The sequence below is a fragment of the Homo sapiens genome, chromosome 1, assembly GCF_000001405.40.
Source record: "Homo sapiens chromosome 1, GRCh38.p14 Primary Assembly".
NCBI lineage: Eukaryota > Metazoa > Chordata > Mammalia > Primates > Hominidae > Homo > Homo sapiens.
In genome coordinates, this window is record NC_000001.11 from 23,801,885 (window position 1) to 23,823,868 (window position 21,984).

Consider the following 21,984-nt stretch of genomic DNA (forward strand, 5'->3'; position numbering starts at 1 on the left):
TTATGATGTGCCATTCAACCTTTAATTACATAAGCTGTTTTCAAAAATCACATTCAGCGTGGAGATTTTCCAGAGATGCTGGAGTTGGCAGACGGCCACCACGTAGCTCTCCACTTTCCACAAATGGCCTCTGCCAGCTTGGGAAGAACCTCCATGACCTGTGTCCTGAGAAGTCAGAGAGCAAGGGCCCCACGGCCATGGCAGGGTGGAGCCGTGTAGAGGGTGGCCAGGTGGCCAGCTCGCGGATTCCATCCAGAGAGGAGACTCAAGGATCATGCTAAGTAGGGAACGGGGTTCCCACACGTCCTCAGGCATTCAACTCCTGGGCCAGGGTCCGTAACAAAGGGAGACTTCAGCCCTCAAAGCCTCTCACTCCTCAGGTCTGGGCAGGAGGTCCTTCTGCCAAGCAGCTCCTCCTGCCCTTCGCCTGCTTTCTGCCAGGAGAGACCTCTGTGTAGAGCTGGCTATGAGGTACCTGCACCATTTAACCTATTCTCATTTCCATGTCCCCATCCATGAATCATCTGTGTGTGCCCCTATTTCCACATCATCCCCAGGGCTTCAGGTGGGCAAGGGGCTCAGAGTTTACAGGTAGCCTGAGCCACTTTGGAGCTAGTTTTTCTGTTCAGGGCTTGACAGATAAAGTTTCCAGCTTCCAGAAGCTTCTGGAGATTCACACCCTTTGAGAAACAAGTTAGAGGATGCGGTAAGTCATGGTATGCCCTCAACACCAGGGAAAACATCAGCATGGACAGACAACTGTGATACTGAAAAGTAAAGGTGAAGATAAACAGGCTTTTTCCTTGACAGCGGGGCACCAGCTGCCTGTGAGCTCCTGTCTGTCTGGCACCTGGGTTATTCCTCTGACTCCCCCTCATGTAAGATGCCCAATCTCTGTCATGGTTTGTAGTGCCACTACCAGGGCACAGATCTTATCAGTCTTGTTCAGTACTCCCTCTTCAGGGCCCAGCACAGGGCCTGGCCCACAGAGGTAAAAAACTGATATTCAAGTGACAATTGTGAGGCAGAGAGGGAGGGATAAAAACACCAACTGAAAGGGCCAGACAGAAACCCTCTGTTCATACAGTAGCTCATATTTGCTGAAGTGCACTCTGTGCTCAGCTCTGTGATAAGCATTCTACATAACTTTTCTTTCTTTTTTTTTTTGGAGACAGAGTTTGCTCTTGTCGCCCAGGCTGGAGTGCAATGGCACGCTCTCAGCTCACTGCAACCTCTGCCTCCCGGGTTCAAGTGATTCTCCTGCCTCAGCCTCCCGAGTAGCTGGGGTTACAGGTGTGTGCCACCACACCCAGCTAATTTTTCTTTTCTTTTTTTTGAGAGGGAGTCTCACTGTGTCGCCAGGCTGGAGTACAGTGGCGTGATCTTGGCTCACTGCAACCTCTGACTCCTGGGTTCAAGCAATTCTCCTGCCTCAGTCTCCCGAGTAGCTGGGATTACAGGTGCGTGCCACCACACCCAGCTAATTTTTGTATTTTTAGTAGAGATGGGGTTTCACCATGTCGGCCAAGCTGGTCTCGAACTCCTGACCTCAGGTGATCTGCCCACCCTGGCCTCCCAAAGTGCTGGGATTACGGGCGTGAGCCACCGTGCCCAGCAATTTTTCTATTGTTAGTGGAGACAGTGTTTCACCATATTGGCCAGGCTGGTCTCAAACTCTTGACCTCAGGTGATCCACCCGCCTTGGCTTCCCAAAGTGCTGGGATTACAGGCGTGCGCCTGGCCCTCTACGTACGTTTTCTTACTTAATCCTCACAATGGCTCCATGAGATGGATGGCATTATTATTCCCATTTCTTAGGTTCAGAGAGATGAAATAATTTGTCTGAGGTCTCATAGCCTGGGAGTGGCAGGAGTAGGCTTTAAACCCAGTTCCATCTGATCTTTAAGCACAGATGCTATTCTGCTTCCGTCCCGCCACTGAGGGCCCTGGTGGACTCTGGCGGATCCCTGGTGAGCTGTCTAACGCTACTGTCCTCATTTTACAGAGAACAAAACAAAGCCAAGAGAGAACTGACTCATTTCAGGTCATGAACCTGACCCTTCCCAGGGCCCCTTCCATGTTCCTGGTGTCTCCTAGGACTGAACTGTCAAAGTCACCCTGACACTCCAGCCTTCTTATGCCCATGCGTGTGGCCTCACTCAACCCTACTCTCACAAACATTAAAATATTAGATCAAATATCCATAATCCCCAACACCCTTCCCCTCTTTTGTTTTGTTTTGAAGAGATAGGGTCTTGCTGTTTCACCCAGGCTGGAGTACACTGGCAGGATCATAGCTCACTGCAGCCTCAAACTCCTGGGCTCAAGTGACCCTCCTGCCTCAGCCTCCCAAAGTGCTGAGATTACAGGCATGAGCCACTGCGCCTGGCTAACCCTTTCCCTCTTTACTCCTCAGCACCTTAACAACCCCAAATACCCCCATCCACTTTTGTTCTCAGCTTCAGGCCCCCTGGTCAGTTCGGGGCTGTCGCCACCAGGGGGTGGGTGGGCTTACCGTGTGAATGCCCAAGCCCTCTAGCATGTAGACCAGGTCTTCTGTGGCCAAGTTTCCTGATGCCCCCTGTGCGTAGGGACAGCCTCCAAGTCCTGCCACAGAAGAGTCCACGACACTCACTCCCATCTAGAAACATAAGGATGGTGAAACACAGTTGTTGCTGGGGACAAGAGGCCACAGAGATGAGCCTTGCAAACCTCCCAATCGTCTGTTGCCTGAAATTCTAGAGTCATTCTTTGCTTTGGCTTATGATTCTGTTGACATGACAATCCCACAGAAAGAGACAGTGCTTCTCCTTTTAGTTTCTGTTAAACTGTTTCCTCTGCCAGCAGTATCTTTCCTTTCATGGTGAACTCTCATTCTTTAGGTTCCAGTCTGAAAGCCACCTGCTCAGGGAGACCTTTTCTGATCACCAGCCTAACCCCCTCCCACTGCTGAGATTTCAGACCCCTGTTGTTTACTGTGATTCATTTATTACCCCCCCCCCACTTACCCCCCACCACCTCCAGGCTACTCTCACTCAGTCAGGGCCTTGCCACACGAGGGCCACATCCCATCTTCCCAGGTCAGTCACCTCCCACTATCCCAAATGACTATTTCACTTTCTCCTCTCTTCTTAAACCTCTATCACCCCCTTCCCCATCCTCATTCTCATCTGCTGCTTTATGGAAATGGATGCAATCAAGAGATGTCTCCATTGATTCCCACCATCACATCTACCCACCTGCCTACATCTGGGCCTACAGACCCACTGTCCCTCATGCTGCCTGAGATGGACCCTGAGCTCCTAGCCAAGGCCAACCCCTCCACCTTGGCGTGAGGCCCATTCCCACCTGCTTCAGGATGTGCTCCAGTAAGTCTCTCCCTCTCTGCTGCAACCTGTTACTCCCCTCCACTGGGTCATCTTCACACAGCCTGCGATCTCTCCCATCTTTTACAAACCTTTTTGGAACCCTCTAACCTCCAATTTCTTTCCCCCCATTCAAAGCAAAGTCCCTCAAAAGAGCTGTTCCCATTTAACATCTACCATTCTCATTTGAACCCATTCGAAACAGGTTTGCGTCCCCACAACTCCTCCACTGAAACAGCTCTAGTCAAGGCCACTGGTGGCCTCCATGTAGCTAAGTACAAAGGTCAAGTCTCTTCATCTTTGCACTTGACTAGCCGCATCATCTTGGACACCTTCTCCATGTGGCTTCCAGGGCTCCACATCCCTTGGTTTTCCTCCTAGTGCTCTAGCCTCTCCTGAGGCCTCGATCCAGTCTTTGCTGGCTCTTCCTCACCTCCCTGATCTCGGTTGGAGCCCTTACTGCTCATTCCTCAGACAGCTTCTCTATCTCCACTCACTCCCAGTTAACTGCACCCAGGTTAACACACCTGCCTATAGATGTCTCGAGCTTCACAGATCAGAACACGAACTGCTGAGATCCGGTCACGCACCTCTGCCCTCCAGGCCTCCTTGCCATGTCTCTCACCTGGATTGCTGTAGGCTCCAAACTGGTTCTTCTCTCTACAGTGTATTCTCTACACAGCACCCAGAGGAGCCTCTTTTTTTTTTTTGATAAGAAGTCTCACTCTGTTGCCTAGGCTGGAGTGCACTGGCGCCATCTCAGCTCACTGCAAATCACTGCAACCTCCACCTCCCGGGCTCAAGTGATTCTCATGCCTCAGCCTCGCAAATAGCTGGGATTACAGGCTCACGCCACCACGCCCAGCTAATTTTTATATTTTTAGTTGAGACAGGGTTTCACCATGTTGGCCAGGCTGGTCTCAAAACTCCTGACCTCAAGTGATCCACCTGCCTCAGCCTCCCAAAGTGCTGGGATTACAGGTGTGAGCCACTGTGCCCAGCCGAGGAGCCTCTCAAACGGAACATTTCAGATCATCTCCCTCCCCGCCCCTGCTCAAGACTCTCTGTTAGCTTCCCAGCTCAGTCTGAAAGAGTCAAAGTCCTACAAGGCCCCCGATCTGGCCTTCCTCTAACCCTGACATCTCTGCCCCCCTCTCCTCAGTCACACTGCTCCCGCCACATGCCTCCTCCTGATCCCTGAACACAGCAAGCACACTCCTCCCTCAGGGCTCTGCGCCTGCTTTCCTGGGTGGGGCTCCCTTCCCTCCCCCTCCCTGCTAGGGATCCGCAGGGCTCACTCCCTCGCTTCCCTCAGGTCTCTCTCAAATGCTACCTTCTGAGTGAGGCCACTCTACAGAAAGGCCTGGCACTGCCTTAACCTGCTTCATTTTTTCTCCACAGTGTTTATGAACACCTGGCCTGCTGTATGTTTGTTTATTTATTATCTGTCTCATAGTACTAGAGTGTCAGCCTCATGAGGGCAGAGACTCTGTTTTGGTCACAGCTGAATCCTTAATGCTGAGAACAGTGCCTAGCACACTAGGCACCGTTAGGTTAGGTTTTAATAGGTGAATAAATGGTCTTACAATGTGCTATTTACACGCCTGTAATCTTCCATCTGTCTTCCCCACCCACCATAACATGAGCTCCCAGAGGGCAGGGATTGGGTCTTGTTACCATTGTCTAAGTCAGCACTTAACCTGGCACATCGATCCATATTTCCGAAGTAACTGATGGAAGAGGGAGGTCAGAGGAAGCTACTGCCAGACGTCACACAGCTCAACCTGTTCCCTGATAAATTTTCAAAAAGGGGATTCTGAGATATCACTGCCATGAAACAGAGAAGCACAGAGGAGCAGGAGTGTCCTGAGCGTGATCAGGATGAAGTTTTGCCTCAGACTCACCTCAGCTGTGCAGAATTCCCCTTTACCTGCCTGGCAAGGCATAGGAGAGGAAGTCACTCTTCCTGTCTGCCTGGCTGGGAAACGCATGAGCTGAAGGAAAGCCCAGGAACCAGGGCAGGGTATCACAGTAAGCTGAAAAATGAGGAGACCACAGAACTACGAACCTTAACCTTGACAGCCACAACTCTGAGGAAACCGACCCAGAACATAACAGACTCACCTGGCTTAGACACGAACCTCTAGGGGATAATTGAGAGGAAAAAAAAAGTGGCTGGAACTGCCATCACTATCCTAGAGATGGAAGGTTAGGCCAATGCTACAGCAAGGTAGCTGTGGTCAGACACTAAGAATGCTCCTTCTATCTGGCTGCCAGCCAATGGATCTCCATTCTGGACCAGCCCACGAGAAGCAAACCTCAAAGGAAACTAATCTGAGGTCTTAGCTCAATCTGTGGGGAACGGCATTAAAGCCTCTCCCTCTGAGTGACCTCTGCTAGCTTCTCTACCTCCTGCTTCCTCATCTGCTTCTGCTACACACCCGCACACTGAAAACCCTGTATATTGTATGAGTCCTCCCTGAACCCCACATCAGTCCTGAGGTGCAATTCTGCCTAGTCATCTTTCCTCTTCCCTCAACAGCAGCTTACTTTATGTTCTTCAAGCTTCACTGAGGCCTCTTTTGCAAATCCTCCCAGATCTCCTCAGCTGGGATGGGGCCCCTCTAGGCTTCCTGAGCCCCATGCTTCCTCCCTTCATGGCATCTGTCATAATGCAGTGGGATTGCCATGTAACTCCCTTGACTGTCTCCCCAACACAGAGCTGTACACTTCACATCTGGGCAGGGTCACCATGACTGTGTCCACCATTGCCAGCTTGGAACCTGGCATACTGGCATCAGTAAATGTTTGCTGAAAGAATAAATGATAACAAGCTGTCCTGCCCACCGTGACCTTTGGGAGAATGGGCATATGCTTTTGATTACCTGCAGGGCCATCAAGGTGTTGGCCAGGGCTTGACCATAGGTGTCATGGCAGTGGACAGCCAGGGCAGCCAGAGGCACTTCCTGCATGACAGCAGATAGCATGTCTTTCATGATCCCTGGGGTGCCCACACCAATGGTGTCCCCCAGGGAGATCTCGTAGCAGCCCATTGAGTAGAACTTCTTGGTGACCTAAGGAAGCAAGCAGGCACTTGGAGGATACAGAATCCACCAGCCAGGGGATCCATGCACTCAGAAGAGGGGGCCTTTGCCTGGGCAGAACACTTCTGGGTATGACGCACTCAGTTCCTACTGGATTACATGCTCCTCACCACTCCAACTGGGAATGATGATCCTCAATCTATGATCAGGAGACTGAGGCGTAAGGGGCAGAGCCAGCCGCTGGAGCCAGCCCACAGTCCTGAAGCTCCAACCCCCGTGCTTTCCTCCCTACCTGTGCCCCTCAGACTTCAGTCTCACTTACGGCTGTCACATCATACTGTCAGACCCAGGTGCTGGAATCAGTGAAGTTGATTCCTTCCATGTCGTTTTATCCTCAGCAATAAAATCCATGAAATCATGGGTCTGAGATGCTAGTTATATTTTTTTTCTTTTTTTTTTTTTTTTTTTGAGACCGGGTCTCACTCTGTCATTCGGCTAGAGTGCAGTGGTGTGATCTCGGCTTACTGCAACCTTGGCCTCTCAGACTCAAGCAATCCTCCCACCTCAGCCTCCCAAGTAGCTTGGACCATATGTATAAAAATGTATATATTTTACATATATATATTTTTTGAGACAGAGTCTCACTCTGTCGCCCAGGCTGGAGTGCAGTGGCACAATCTCGGCTCACTGCAAGCTCTGCCTCCTGGGTTCAAGTGATTCTCCTGTCTCAGTCTCCCAAGTAGCTGGGATCATAGGCACCTACCACCACGCCCCACTATTTTTTGTATTTTTAGTAGAGACGGAGTTTCACCATGTTGGCCAGGCTGGTCTTGAACTCCTGACCTCAGGTGATCCACATGCTTCGGCCTCCCGAAGTGCTGGGATTACAGTCATGAGCCACCATACCCGGCCAATCAATAGTCCATATATATATATATATATATATTTTTTTTTTTTTTTTTTTAGATGGAGTCTCCCTCTGTTGCCCAGGCTGGAGTGCGGTGGCGCAATCTCAGCTCACTGCAAGCTCCGCCTCCCGGGTTCACGCCATTCTCCTTTCTCAGCCTCCCGAGTAGCTGGGACTACCGGCGCCCACCACCACCCCCGGCTAATTTTTTGTATTTTTAGTAGAGACGGGGTTGCACCATGTTAGCCAGGATGGTCTCGATCTCCTGACCTTGTGATCTGCCCATCTCAGCCTCCCAAAGTGCTGGGATTACAGGCGTGAGCCACCGTGCCCGGCCAATAGTTATATTTTTTAATAGAGGTACATCACTATTTAAATTTTTGGAAGCCCATTTGCACATCTCTAAAACCACTGCAAAATGGGTCCATATTGGAATAGGTCCAATATGGGTCCAATTGGAATAAGCCATACTGGAATAGGGTGGGCCCCTAATCCCATACGACTGGTGAACTTAAAAAAAGATGGCCTCACCCAAGGAGCTGCTGCCCACACGGGGCTGCTGGACAAGGTGCAGAGGGATGTGGCAGGGAAAGGGGACCAGAAGACACCAGTGATCTGCTAAATAAATGAAATGGTGACGTCGCTTCCCCAGTGGCCCTGCAGAGTGTGGGGCGGCAGTGGCTGGCCTTTAGGGGGCAGCAGGGTGCAGGGGAAGGAGCAGGCCTTTGAAGTCACGAGATGCTGGGTTAAAGTCCTAGTTCTGCTGTTCACTAGCTGTGGGCCTTGGCAAGCAACTTCACTTTTCTGAGCTTCAATTTCTGCTTCTGAAAAATGGTGATGACCCTTTGGTCATACGGCAAGGATTGTGGCAACTGAGGCTAAGACCTGGAGCAGGGCAGCTGCTCTCAAGAAACAGTTGCTACTGTTACCATTCCACCTATCTGGATGCCACAAAGTATCCTGGGAAGAAGTGGGCTTTGGAGAGAGAAAAAATGGGGTTTGATACCTGATTTCACCATTTGTAACCTGTGTGGCAAGTTATTTAGTGTCAGTTTTCTCAACTGTAAAAGGGAATAATAATACCAAATTTGCACAGTGGTTTTGAGGACTAAATGACATAAGTTCTTGGGCTGGTCAAACTCAATTCCCATGCCATGTTCTTCTCAGTGTTGACCTGGTGACTGTTCAGAGGACATCAGGGTTGTGGCCTTTCAATCACTACAAGGAACTATGGGAACTCCTGGGTAAGGAGCCCCTCCTCAGAGAATCACCTCAACGACCAGACTGGAAACTGAATTGGAGGTTTTCAGGCTGGATAGAGGCCAGGGGCTTCAAGGACTACATGTTCGGCTAGGAGGGGGGCCTCTAGGGAGCAAGTGCAGGGCTGTGCTCACAGCAGGAGCTTAATGAAGGAGCTGGGTGAATGAATGAAGTCAGGAACCTGCCAGAAAGGGTGGGGAGAGGAACCTATGCGCTCAGGGGCAGACAAGGTGGCCAACCCTCACCAAACCCCCCGCCCTGACACATGCACACACCTCAGCTACTTTAGCTGGGGAGATCTTCCCTTCATAAGGGCAGCCAAGAGCACAGGAGACGTACCTGTGGGAAGACAGGGGAGGAATGAGGTCAGTGTCCTGAGCTTTTTGGCTAGCAGAACTGAGGCAGGGCTGTTTAACACACATTTCTGATCAGTGTGCAATCAACACCTGCAGCTGGGCGGAGTAAGGGCAGGGATGGTACAATTCAGTGCCAGGAGGAGGCAGTAGAGAGCAATGGCAGGGAACTGGGGGACAATGGACCTACAATTGAGGAAGCAGAAGTTGCACAGGCCTCAGGAGAGGCAGCCAAGGATTTACAATAAGCGGAGGAGGAGCTAGAGAGGGCAAGGAGAGTAAGCAGCTGGGTTGTAAGGTGGGGAGATGGAGCAAAACTACGTGCCAGAGGAGCTGGGGCCAGTACTCCAAAAGGAGACCAAAGACTGGGTAAAACCAAACTCAGAACAAGAGCTGAGTTGGATATGAGTCAGTAACAGGCTGGGCTGGCCTGAGGACCAAGGGATGAGCTGCCCCAGTGAGATGCTAGAGGATTCATTCATTCATTTATTCACCTGATGTTTACTGAGTTGCCTGCTATGTGCCAGGCACTGGCACAGAGCAGTGGGCAAGACTGATAAGGTTCCTGCCCTCTCAGAGCTTATCTCAAGTTAGGGAGATGGCCAATAAAAAAGCAACCAAGTAAGTAATGGAGAAAATCTCAGAAGTGATGTGCCACAGAGGAAAGATGGGAAATGATAGGAACAAGTGGAGGAGGCCAACTAGTGAGGGTCCAGGAAAGATCCCTCTGAGGACAGGATGCTGGAGCCGAGAGGAGCCGGGGGTGGTCTGTGAGAAGAGCATTCCAGGCAGAGGGAAGACCTGGGCAAAGCCCTGAGACAGAAGAGCCAGGCATGCTCCAGACAGAACAAAGGACAGCTGAGGCAGACAGAGCAAGGGGAAAGGAAGTATGAGATGAGGAGGTCAGCAAGGTGGGCACAGGTCTGATCATGGGTCTTAGGGCTATGGTAAGGAGGGTGGATTTGGGATGTAGGTGACTTCTATTCCCACCTGCCCTTTTGGGAGCTGTCTTTAAAACCCTTTAGAGTCAAGCAAATTCTGCATATTAAGAGGCATAATAAATGTTCAACAGATAAATAATTTCAGACTCAAAGATCTCAGTGTACTTTTCCATTTTGATGCTCCCACTTATTCTCCAACCACTGCTGAGCAAGAAAAAGGTAAGAGAGATGCTTAGAAAGACACAGATCTGGGAGTTGGGCCAATGTTACTGGAGCACCTGCTTCCCCATTCATCCACCTGCCCGTCAGTGACTGAGTGCCCACTGTGGCTAGGCCCCAAGCTGGGAGAGTGGAGCACCCCAGGGACTGGGAGAGATGTGGGCTTTGCCCTCATGGAGTGCACGGTCTAGTGGGGTGGGGCAGGGAGGGAATTTAACAAGCAGCTAAGTGCTACATTTAGAGGATGTCCCGACACCATGGGGTCCCAGAGAAGGGCACTAACTCCAGCTGAAGGACTGGAGCAGCTTCTCAGAGGAACTGACTCCCACAAGAAGACCTGAAGGATGAGCAGGAGTTATCCCCGAGAAGCATGATGTGGAGGAAGTGTTCTTTATTTTTTGGAGACAGAGTCTTACTCTTTCACCCATGCTGGTGTGCAGTGGCATGATTTTGGCTCACTTCAGCTTGGACCTCCCAGGCTCAGGTGATCTTCCCACCTTAGCCTCCTGAGTAGCTGGGACTACAGGCACATGCAACCACACCTGGCTTTTTTTTTGTAGAGCTGGGGTTTCACCATGTTGCCCAGGCCCAAGCCAGTCACAAACTCCTGGGCTGAAGCAACCTGCCCACCTTGGCCTCCCAAGGAAGGTTGTTCTGAGTCTAGAGAGAGCACGTGCAAAGGCCCAGAGGCAAGAGTGGAGGCATGTGACAAACAGAAAGAAGTTCCAGTTGGGCTGGAGTGTACCATGAAGAGGAAGCAGGGGCCAGAAGGGAACTTGAACGGTACGGCTACAGAAAAGAGCCGGGACCAAATCATGCAGGGTTTGTAAACCTCATTAAAAAGTCTGCACTTGATTAGTCACTGAAAGCTTTTTAACCAGGAGGGATGTGATCAGATGTGCACTTTTGTGGGGTTTTTTTGGTTTTTGTTTTTGAGACAGAGTCTCACTCTGTCACCTAGGCTGGAGTGCAGTGGCGTGATCTTGGCTCACTGCAACCTCTGCCTCCTGGGTTCAAGTGATTCTCCCGCCTCAGCCTCCTGAGTAGCTGGGATTACAGGTGCATGCCACTACGCCCGGCTAATTTTTGTATTTTTAGTAGAGATGGGGTTTCCCCATGTTGGCCAGGCTGGTTTCAAACTCCTTACCTCAGGTGATCTGCCCGCCTCGGCCTCCCAAAGTGCTGGGATTACAGGCATGAGCCACCATGTTCAGCCCAGATGTGCACTTTTCAACGATCATTCTGGCTGCAATGTTTTTTTTTTTTTTTTTTTTTTTTTGAGATGGAGTTTTGCTCTGTCACCCAGGCCGGAGTACAGTGGTGTGATCTCGGCTCACCACAACCTCCGCCTCCCAGATTCAAGTGATTCTCCTGCCTCAGCCTCCCAAGTAGATGGAATTACAGCTAATTTTTGTATTTTTAGTAAAGACGGGGTTTCTATCCACTACCACGCCCAGCTAATTTTTGTATTTTTAGTAGAGATGGGGTTTCACCATGTCGGCCAGGCTGGTCTTGAACTCTTGACCTCAGGTGATCCACCTGCCTTGTCCTCCCAAAGTGCTGGGATTACAGGTGTGAGCCACCATGCCCGGCCTCTGGCTGCAATTTGCACAGCAGTGTGACCTTACAGTAGAGTATTCGCCCTTCCTGGGCCTCGGTTTTGTAATTTATAAAGTGAGGATAACCTACTCCCTGCTGGGCTATTGTGAGGTTTCAATTATTATAGATAATACACACACAATGCCTGGAACCACTGATATTAGAGATGTGATGTTGGAAACATAGAAGCCTAGGTAATTCTCCAGGGATGTGTGAAGAGCTAGTGATAAAGCCAGGACTCAACTGACCTCCACAAACCCGTTAGTGTCCTGTCCTGCTAGATTCCTTTAGCATGATAGCAGTGGTGCTATCATGGCTCACTGCAGCCTCAAACTCCTGGTCTCAAGCCATCCTCTGCCTCAGTCTCCCAAGTTGCTAGGACTACAGGCGCATGCTATCATGGCTAGCTGGTAAACTGACCCAAAATTCAGGTTTGAGAGAAAGTACTTCCTAGGATTTCTTCTGACCACACTTATTTGGGAAAAGATGTCTAGGTGTGGAGCTCAGGCTGCCCCCACCCAGGATAAGAAGTTTGTGGCAGGAGGACCACTTGAGTCAGAGTCTAGCCCCATTCCAGAACGGTACAGAGGAAAGGATACCAATGTGCTCTGACTCACCCCCGCACAGAAATATTGGCTGACTGCGCTGCCTTCAGGATTGCGTCAAACCTCTGAAAACTCTCCTCTATGGAACAATTGATGTTCTTCTTGGTGAAGAGCTCTGAGGCAGCTCCAAAGATGACTACTTCCTTGGCTCCAGCAGCAACCTGCCAACATCCAGGTGAACTCCTTTCAGCACTTTTCTCTTTTTTTGTTTGAGATGGAGTCTTGCTTTGTTGCCCAGGCTGGAGTGCAGTGGCATGATCTCGGCTCACTGCAACCTCCACCTCCTGGGTTCAAGCGATTCTCCTGCCTCAGCCTCCTGAGTAGCTGGGATTACAGGAGCCCACCACCACGCCCGGCTAATTTTTGTATTTTTAGTAGAGACAGCGTTTCACCATGTTGGTCAGGCTGGTTTCGAACTCCTGACCTTGTGATCCACCCACCTCAGCCTCCCAAAGTGCTGAGATTACAGGTGTCAGCCATCATGCCCGGCCAGCACTTTTCTCTTTAAAGAACACTGACACAGAGTAGCAAAAAATTTCTCTTAAGGTAAATTTTATGTTATGTGAATGTTATGGGTTGAATTGTGTCCTCCTAAAAATATATGTTGAAGGATTAAAACCCAGCACCTCAGAATGTGACCTTATTTGGAAACAGCGTCATTGCAGATATCATTAGTTAAGATGAAGCCATACTGGAATAGGGTGGGCCCCTAATCCCATACGACTGGTGACCTTAAAAAAAGATGGCCAGCCGGGCGCAGTGGCTCACGCTTGTAATCACAGCACTTTGGGAGGCCGAGGCGGGCAGATCATGAGGTCAGGAGATCGAGACCATCCTGGCTAACACAGTGAAACCCCATCTCTACTAAAAATACAAAAAATTAGCCGGTCGTGGTGGCACACGCCTGTAGTCCCAGCTACTCGGGAGGCTGAGGTGGGAGAATCACTTGAACCTGGGAGGTGGAGCTTGCAGTGAGCCGAGATCATGCCACTGTACTCCAGCCTGGGCGACAGAGCAAGACTCTGTCTAAAAAAAACAAAAACAAAAGATGGCCAAGTGAAGACACAGAGACACAGAAAAGGTGGCCCTGGGAAAACGGAGGCAAAGACTGGAGAGATGCATCTACAAGCCAGGCAATGCCAAGGACTGCTGGCCACCACCAGACCCCAGCAGAGAGGCATAGGACAGATTCTCCCAGAGGCCTCAGAAGGAACCAATCCTGCTGACACCTTGATTTGGGACTTCTGGCCTCCAGACTGTGAGAGAATAAATTTCTGTTGTTTTTAAGCCACCCAATTTGTAGTGCTTTCTTTTTTTTTTTCTTTTTTCTTTTTTTGAGACAAAGTCTTGCTCTGTCACCCAGGCTGGAATGCAGTGGCATGATCTTGGCTCACTGCAACCTCCGCCTTCCGGGTTCAAGTGATTCTCCTGCCTCAGCCTCCTGAGTAGCTAGGATTACAGGTACCTGCCACCAAGCCTGGCTAATTTTTTGTATTTTTAGTAGAGACGGGGTTTCATCGTGTTAGCCAGGATGGTCTCGATCTCCTGACCTCATGATCCGCCCGCCCTGGTCTCCCAAAGTGCTAGGATTACAGGCGTGAGCCACCGCGCCCGGCCTGTAGTGCTTTCTTACAGTAGCACTAGGAAACAAACACAGTAATTTCTCTTAATTAAAAAAAAAAAAACTTTGATTTTCCCCAAGGAAACCACCACCACTGCCATCACCACCCTGGAAGTCACTCTTGAGAAAAAGCTTTTTTTTTTTTCTTGCTGTGTCACCCAGGCTGGAAGAGTGCAGCGGTATTATCATGGCTCACTGCAGCCTCGAACTCCTAGTCTCAAGCCATCCTGTGCCTCAGTCTCCCGAGTAGCTAGGACTACAGGTGCATGCCATCACAGCCAGCTAATTGATTTTTTTTTTTTTTTTTGTAGAGACAAGGTCTCCTTATGTTGCTCAGGCTGGTCTCAAGCTTCTGGCCTCAAGCTGTTCTCCGGCCTCAGCCTCCCAAAGTGCTGGGATTATAGGTGTGAGCCACTGTGCCCAGCCAAAAAAAGGTTTTTGCCTAAATACAGAACCAACGCCTCCAAAGATGTTCTTGTCTAAAATTGTAAGAAAGTTGGCAGATGCCAGCAACTACTGTTGAAACTCTTGTGGAGAGTTTGGTTACATTTCTCTAAAGAAGTGGATAATCAAAAGAGCTAACATTTATTAAGCAGTTACCTTTTATCTGGCTCTTGCTAAGCAATGTACATGCATCCTATCTTCTGAAATGCTCACAACTTCAGGTACTATCATTTAGCCCTATTTTATAGGCTTGTCAACTTGTCAAGATCACAGAGCAGTGAGTGGCAGGGCCAGGTTTGCCCCAGGGTCTGGCTGACAGACAAGCTATTCAGATGGACATCCCAGGACAGGGGACTGAGGCGCCAAGACAAGGCAGGGACCAATGCCATCAATCTCATTTCAGGAGCCCCCACCAACAAGCTATCCTCTTACCGCTGCCTCGAAGCCTTTCAAATTTGGGGTCAGGACTGGGTAGTTGATGCCAGGAAACTTCTGAATGCCCTTCAAGACTTCAGTGTGGTCACCCATCTAGGAACCAAGGGAGACATTGCCAAGTCATCACCAAGAGCAGACAGAGAGTTCAGTTAGAGAAAACCTTTTCATCACAAAACCTCTGTTCTCCAGAACTCTTAGCGAGTAATTCCTTCTGCAGAGCTGAGTCTCTCCAATACTTTTACTGTTTGTTTGACTGCTGATGGCTCAGAAGGGCCCTTGGTTTGGCTGAGATCCCAATTTCTCCATATGGCCCATACTGCCAGCTTTACATATGCAGAAACAGCAGGAATACTACTACCAGCCATTTATTGAGAATGTACTCTGGGCCAGGCACTGAGCTCAGCTCTGTGTTAAGCACTCCTTTGTAACAGGATGTTTCTTCTTCACTTAACTATCTTTGTGAAGCAGGAGTTGTCAGTCTTCCTCTTTTACAAACAAAGAAACCACAGACAGGCATAGAGGGTTTTAGACTTTAGGGCTAGAAGAGGTCATCTCTAACACTGAGGAGGGGAAGGCCTTAGCAATGTCACTGAGCAAGTCAGAGCAGAGCCAAGACTGAACCCAAGGCCCTGAATCCTGGGTCATGTTCTTTTGCTGCAACACAGTGCTATGAATCACCTGAGACCTCTCAAAGCCAGGGGCTTGGAAACCTATGTTCTCAACTTCTACTTGCTTCAAAGGCAAATGCAAAACTTTTCATCCCTAGAGAAAGGCCTTTCATTGAGGGCTAGGGCTCACCTGGGGAACCCACTTAGGAGACACAAAGCTGGTGGTTTCTATAACAGAGAGTCCTGCTTCAGAAAGCATGTCTATCAGCTTGATTTTCACTGGAGTAGATACGATATTCTATAGTGGAGAGAGAAACACCAAGGCAGCAAAGTTAGTAACAAAACAGCCTCAAAATGCAGTACCTGTTAGTTCAAGTACTATAGATAATTTTTTGCAGTGGATGCAGCTTCTCACCTGAAAAGGAGTTATTTACATAGAAACATTATTCTGCCATGCAGGCTTTCCCGTAAGTAAATGTGTGTTAATTTATAATCCCATCATAAACAAACTGAGAGCAATGTGTGATGGCCTGAAAGGGCAGAGATGACTAACCCTCTGGGGAGTATGGGATGGGGCCCCCAAAGTATCACACCCTCCTCGCTTCTGTCTCCCAATTGGCATAGGACTTCAGCCTCATGTGTTCAGCGTATAGCTTCTTTATCTTCCTCCCCACCATGTCCAGTAGCTCAACAGATTCCATGGATTCCTCTTTCCAAATCTACCATCATTATCCTGTATATAACATGGCATAGTCTCAAGCCACTAATTCATCTTACACAGGAATCCTCCTAAAATGCAGCTTCCAACCTTCCATTCTCTTGCATCAAAAGCTTTCTATGGCTCCCTAATATTTACAGGATTACGCAAAAAATTCTAAGAACTCCAGGTCCAGGCGGACACATTGGCTCACGCCTGTAATCCCAGCACTTTGGGAGGCTGAGACAGGCAGATCATTTAAGCTTAGGAGTTTGAGACCAGCCTGGGCAACATGGCGAAACCCCCTCTCTACAAAAAATACAAAAATTAGCCAGGCGTGGTGGCACGTGTCTGTGATCCAGCTACTCAGGAGGCTGAGGTGGATCACTGGAGCCTGGGAAGTCGAGGCTGCAGTGAGCAATGATTGTGCCACTGCACTGAGTGACACAGAGCAAGACCCTGTCTCAAACAAAAAGAACACACAAAAATACTCCAGGTCCTTCTCGCTAGGTCCTCCCCTTGCCTGCCTTCTCCAGTTTCTCTCCCACTGCTCTAACTTAATCTTTCCACAAAATTTTTTTTTTTTTGAGATGGAGTCTCACTGTATTGCCCAGAGTGGAGTGCAGTGGCACAATCTCAGCTCACTGCGACCTCCGCCTTCCGGGTTCAAGCGATTCTCCTGCCTCAGCCTCCAGAGTAGATGGGATTACACAAGCATGCCACCACCCCAGCTCATTTATTTTAGTAGAGATGGGGTTTCACCATGTTGGCCAGGCTGGTCTCAAACTCCTGACCTCAGGTGATCTGCCTGCCTCAGCCTCCCAAAGTGCCAGTATTACAGGCATGAGCCATCATGCCCAGCCTGTCAAATAATTTTTGAAAGCCCTCCATGTTGCAGGCATTGTGCTAGGTGCCGGGGATATAGCAGTAAGCAGAAGCAGAACAGACAGGATTCTGCCCTTCGGGAACTTACACACTATTGTTTCCAACAAGCACTCACTATTAAAGCTAGGATGGACGTGCTAAAAAAAAAAAAAAAAAAAAAAAAAAAGAGAAAAAGAAAAAAGCTTTTCTTATTGAAAAAATAATCAATATATGATTCTTTCAGAAAAACATGCCAAAAACAAAAGAAAACCACCCTTAGAATCTCCCAGTGATAACGCTATTAACACCCTGGTGTGTAACTTTCTAGATCTGTGCAGCCCAATATGTCACTAGTCACATGTGGTTATTTAAATTTAATAAAAATTGTATAAAAATAAAAATACAATTCCTTGGCCACACTAGTCACATCTCAAGTTCTCAAGGGCCACATGGGTATAGTGGCCACCACATGGAAAAGCTCAGGTCCAGAATATTTCCATCTTCACAGAAAGTGCTGGTCTAGGTCCTAGTCTAGATAAATGCTCCCATACATATATAAACTTTTTTCTTACATAAAAGTGTTAAGATTAAAAAATACATGGCCAGGCGCATTGGCTCATGCCTGTAATCCCAGCACTTTGGGAGGCTGAGGCAGGTGGATCACCTGAGGTCGGGAGTTCAAGACCAGCCCGGCCAACCTGGTGAAACCCCATCTCTACTAAAAATACAAAAATTAGCTGGGCATGGTGGCAGGGGCCTGTAATCCTAGCTATTCGGGAGGCTGAGGCAGGAGAATCACTTGAACCCGGGAGGAGGAGGTTGAGGTGAGCCGAGATTGCGCCATTGCACTCCAGCCTGGGTGACAGAGTGAGATGCCATCTCCCAAAAACACACACACACACACGCGCGCGTGCGTACGCGCACATGCACTATTTGTTTTTGTTTGGAGACAGAATCGTGCTCTGCCTCAGCCTCCTGAAGTGCTGGGATTACAGGCATGAGCCACCACCATGCCCAGTCACATGTACTATTTTATAAACTGCTTGAGTCACTTTATATATACCTATGTTATTAATGGCTTCATAATATTTCATTTTATAAAAAGTCCATAGTGTATCTGACCCAACTTTCCTCATACTAAATATTTAAGTTGTTTCCAACTGTTCTGTGCTTACCAAACAGGTTTGTAAGGAACACCCCCAAGGCTAAATCTCTACATTTGGCCTTCGTGACTTGCTTTGGATAAATCCCCTTACATGGAATTGCTGGGTCTACCCCACCCCACTGGGCTGTGGACCTGGGGACACCAAACCTGTTGCACCACCATTCAGTTTATATATATACATATATTTTTTAATAAGATAGAGTCTTGCTATATTGCCCAGACTGGTCTCAAACTCCTGGGCTCAAGCCATCCTCCCACCTCAGCCTCCCAAGTAATTAGGGATGACAGGCATGAGCCACCCATCCAGCTTGCCCCACCATTTTAGATCATTTAACTGTCACAGGTGTCTGTCCCTGTTTGGCCTCCTCTACTCTCCCCTAACTTGTGCAGAGGAATCACATCTTGCATAGCTCTGTCAACTGCCATTGCACCTATCACACGTAATACTCAAAGCAGATGCTTGAAAAAACTGTTTTTTTGGCTCATTTCCAACTTTACCTTTTCATTTTGTAGTCCATCTCGGGGACCAACTTCCACAATTTTCACCCGCTTTGGTAAAGTGCCCATAGATGAGGTGCTGACCTTTGGTTTAAAAGAGGAAACAAAAAGTATGAGGAAGAGATTGCCACAATTCCCAGGGAGACCAATATGAAAGAATGGATCTATCTTCACTAATAATGAGACAAGAAGAAATATTTCTCACCATTTAATTCACATTTGGTCTATTTTAGAATTAAGAACAAAAAGAATATTTCACTTAGTAACAGGAACAAGCAAGAGATTCATCCTTCCAGTACCGGTTCTCCCCTGAAGTCCAGACTCCTTTTCCACTGCCTACCTGACAGCTCTATTCGCATCTCTTCATATAGCAGTCCCGAAACAGAACTCTAATTTCTCCTAAAGCCCATCTGACTCCATCCTTTCCATCTCTGTCAAAGGCATCGCATGTACCCTACTGCATAAGCCAGAACTTCATTGAGCCATTTCACCTATTCACCATGGCCTATAGGACTCTGTATGCTGCTGTATGTATGTTAGAAGTAGTTTAAAAAGGCCAGGTATTGCGGGGGGCAGTGGCTCATGCCTGTAATCCCAGTACTTTGGGAGGCCGAAGCGGGCGATCACTTGAGGTCGGGAGTTTGAGACCAGCCTGACCAACATGGTGAAACCCCATCTCTACTAAAAATACACAAAAAATAGCCGGGTGTGGTGGTGCACGCCTGTAACTCCAGCTACTCAAGAGGCTGAGGCAGGAGAATTGCTTGAACCAGGGAGGTGGAAGTTGCAATGAGCCAAGATCGTGCCACTGTACTCCACCTTGGGCGACAGAGGAAGACTCCATTTCCAAAAAAAATAAAAAAAGGCCAGGCACGGTGGCTCATGCCTGTAATCCCAGCACTTTGGGAGGCCAAGGCAGGCAGATCACTTGAGGCCAGAGGTTCGAGATCAGCCTGGCCAACATGATGAAGAAACCCCGTCTCTACTAAAAATAGAAAAATTAGCCAGGTGTGGTGGAATGGACATGTAGTCCCAGCTACTCAAGAGGCTGAGGTGGGAGAATCGCTTGAGCCCAGAAGGTTGAGCCTGCAGTGAGCTATGACTGTGCCACTACACTCCAGCCTGGGCAACAGAGCGAGACCCTGTCTCAAAAAAAAAAATTAAATGACTCTATATGTCACTTGATGCTTTCCAATTAAGAAAAGAAAAGACTGTATGAGTTGCCTCCTCTGACCTCCTGGAATCATCACTCGCCCCTACTGTCCACTCCCAACCTCCACCCAACAGGTTGCTAAGCTCCCTGCCTTCTCTTCCCTCTGCCCCAGGGTTCCTCATCTGGCTTTTTTTAAAAAAACTGGCTGTTCTTACATCTCTCTCTCATCTTTCAGTTGCAGAGAGGCTTCCTCTGACCACCCTTTGCAAAGCTGCCATTCCTCCCACCCCCATTATTTTCGCTATTGCAGAGCTATAATTATTTCCTTCAAAGCACGATAAAGAATGCCTACTCAATGTCTCTTCCAGTAGAACATAAGCTCTTTGAGGGACCTTGTCTGTCTCAACTCCACTTCATCCCTAGTGTTTGGCACCGTGTTTGGTACAAAGTAGCCACTCTTTAAAGTTATTAAAATAACACATAAACCATGAAGGACACAGCTGTCCCAGAAGAGAGCAATTACTGAGTGTGGGGAGGAGTAGTCAGTCCTGGACTTTTCGGGGTATGGGCGAGATGCAGGAGGGCTCTCTTCTGTTACAGTCATAGGCTGGGTGATGACAAGCATGGGTCTAAGGGGAGGTGACACCCCCAGTAGCTGAAGACAGTTTTTACAAAATGCCCTGAGTCTCCTCTATATAAAGTCAGCTCAAAATCTTAGTCTTCCCTATCAAGTAACACAATACTTTTTTTTTCCTCTTTCCTCTACCTGTCTTGATACTGTAACTTTTCAAATCAACTTTGTTTTACAGATTTAATCTGGATAAATATACTACAACGAGGCAAAGCGGAAGGCACACTGTGTGATCCGCTAAGGATCTCAACCCCCTGAAGTCCCCCAGGAATTCCCTGCTAGGAAGCAGCTGGAACATGTACAACTCACCTGACTGGCCTTGTTTTAGCCAACAAGCTTTCTTAGAGACTAAGGCGATGAGCCATTGAATTTCATGACGTCAACAGGCTAAGTTGGAAGGTCCCTGCAACTTGAATCTCCCTCCAACAGGGATGTTCAGCCTCTGCTAGTATATCACCCTAAAACTATCTCACTGGAACATAAGTTTCATGAGACAGGGACTTTGTTTTATTCAATGCTGTATTTCTAAGGCCCTGGGACATAATAGGGGCTCGATAAATAACAGTTGAGTGTTGCTGAAATAATCTAAAACCTGCTTCAGGCCAAGCGTGGTGGCTCACGCCTGTAATCCCAGCACTTTGGGAGGCCGAGGTGGGCAGATCACCTGAGGTCAGAAGTTCGAGACCAGCCTAGCCAACATGGTGAAGCCCTATCTCTACTAAAAACACATAAATTAGCTAGGCATGGCAGCAGGTGCCTGCAATCCCAGCTACTCGGGAGGCTGAGGCAGGAGAATTGCTTGAACCCAGGAGGAGGAGGTTGCAGTGAGCTGAGATCGTGCCATTGTACTCCAGCCTGGGGTACAAGAGCGAGACTTCTTCATCTCAAAAAAAAAAAAAAAAAAAAAAGCTTCTAAAACCTGCTTCCAAGCTGCTTTTATTAGAACATTATAAACTCAATTCCACTTCCTTCCTTCCCCGTAACAGCTCTTCACATAATAATTCAGTTTTTAAACACTTAATATTTGCCAGGCACATACAAGAGCCATTTACATATTTATTTATTTATTTATTTATTTGAGATACAGTCTCATTCTGTCTCCAGGCTGGAGAGCAGTGGCGCGATCTTGGCTCACTGCAACCTTCACCTCCCAGGTTCAAGTGATTCTCCTGCCTCAGCCTCCCGAGTAGCTGGGACTACAGGTGCGCACCACCACACCTGGCTAATTTTTTGTATTTTAGTAGAGACAGGATTTCACCAGGTTGGCCAGGCTGGTCCCGAACTCCCGACCTCAAGTGATCCACCCACCTCAGCCTCCCAAAGTGCTAGGATTATAGGCATGAGCCACCACGCCTGGTGAGCCATTTACATATTAACCCATACTGTCCTCTCAACAATCTTATCAGGTAGGAACTATCATCATCCCCATTTTACTGTAAGAAATCTAAGGCCCCACTTGGGAGGCTGAGGCAGAAGAATCGCTTGAACCTGGGAGGCAGAGGTTGCAGTGAGCTGAGATTGAGCCACTGCACTCCAGTCTGGGTGACAGATGACAGAGCAAGACACCGTCTCAGG

The 21,984-nt window shown here is 48.6% G+C and overlaps 1 protein-coding gene across 2 annotated transcripts in view, besides 2 other annotated features; it reads right to left on the bottom strand.

Moving 5' to 3' along the window:
- The window catches only part of HMGCL (3-hydroxy-3-methylglutaryl-CoA lyase), a 23,545-nt gene continuing 1,561 nt past the window's right edge, over nt 1-21,984 (bottom strand). Inside the window, exons 2-9 of one of the 2 annotated variants that reach the window (NM_000191.3) lie at nt 18,626-18,709; nt 15,592-15,699; nt 14,791-14,886; nt 12,306-12,454; nt 8,852-8,915; nt 6,251-6,439; nt 2,516-2,641; nt 1-680 (exon numbers count right to left, since the gene is read on the bottom strand). In NM_000191.3, the coding sequence (NP_000182.2) occupies nt 579-680; nt 2,516-2,641; nt 6,251-6,439; nt 8,852-8,915; nt 12,306-12,454; nt 14,791-14,886; nt 15,592-15,699; nt 18,626-18,709 (918 nt within the window). In that variant the 3' untranslated portion in view covers nt 1-578. The remainder of the gene's footprint in view (nt 681-2,515; nt 2,642-6,250; nt 6,440-8,851; nt 8,916-12,305; nt 12,455-14,790; nt 14,887-15,591; nt 15,700-18,625; nt 18,710-21,984) is intronic. The other variant, NM_001166059.2, reaches the window with a different exon arrangement.
- Nucleotides 8,114-8,163: an enhancer, noted in NCBI's record as "active region_377". NCBI's record gives its function as "activates an Ori minimal core promoter by ATAC-STARR-seq in GM12878 lymphoblastoid cells {active_cell/tissue: GM12878}" and the evidence as "EXISTENCE:reporter gene assay evidence [ECO:0000049][PMID:35858748]".
- Nucleotides 8,951-9,156: a silencer, noted in NCBI's record as "fragment chr1:24137325-24137530 (GRCh37/hg19 assembly coordinates)". NCBI's record gives its function as "represses an EF-1alpha promoter that drives an FKBP-Casp9 reporter gene in an ReSE screen in HepG2 liver carcinoma cells {active_cell/tissue: HepG2}" and the evidence as "EXISTENCE:reporter gene assay evidence [ECO:0000049][PMID:32094911]".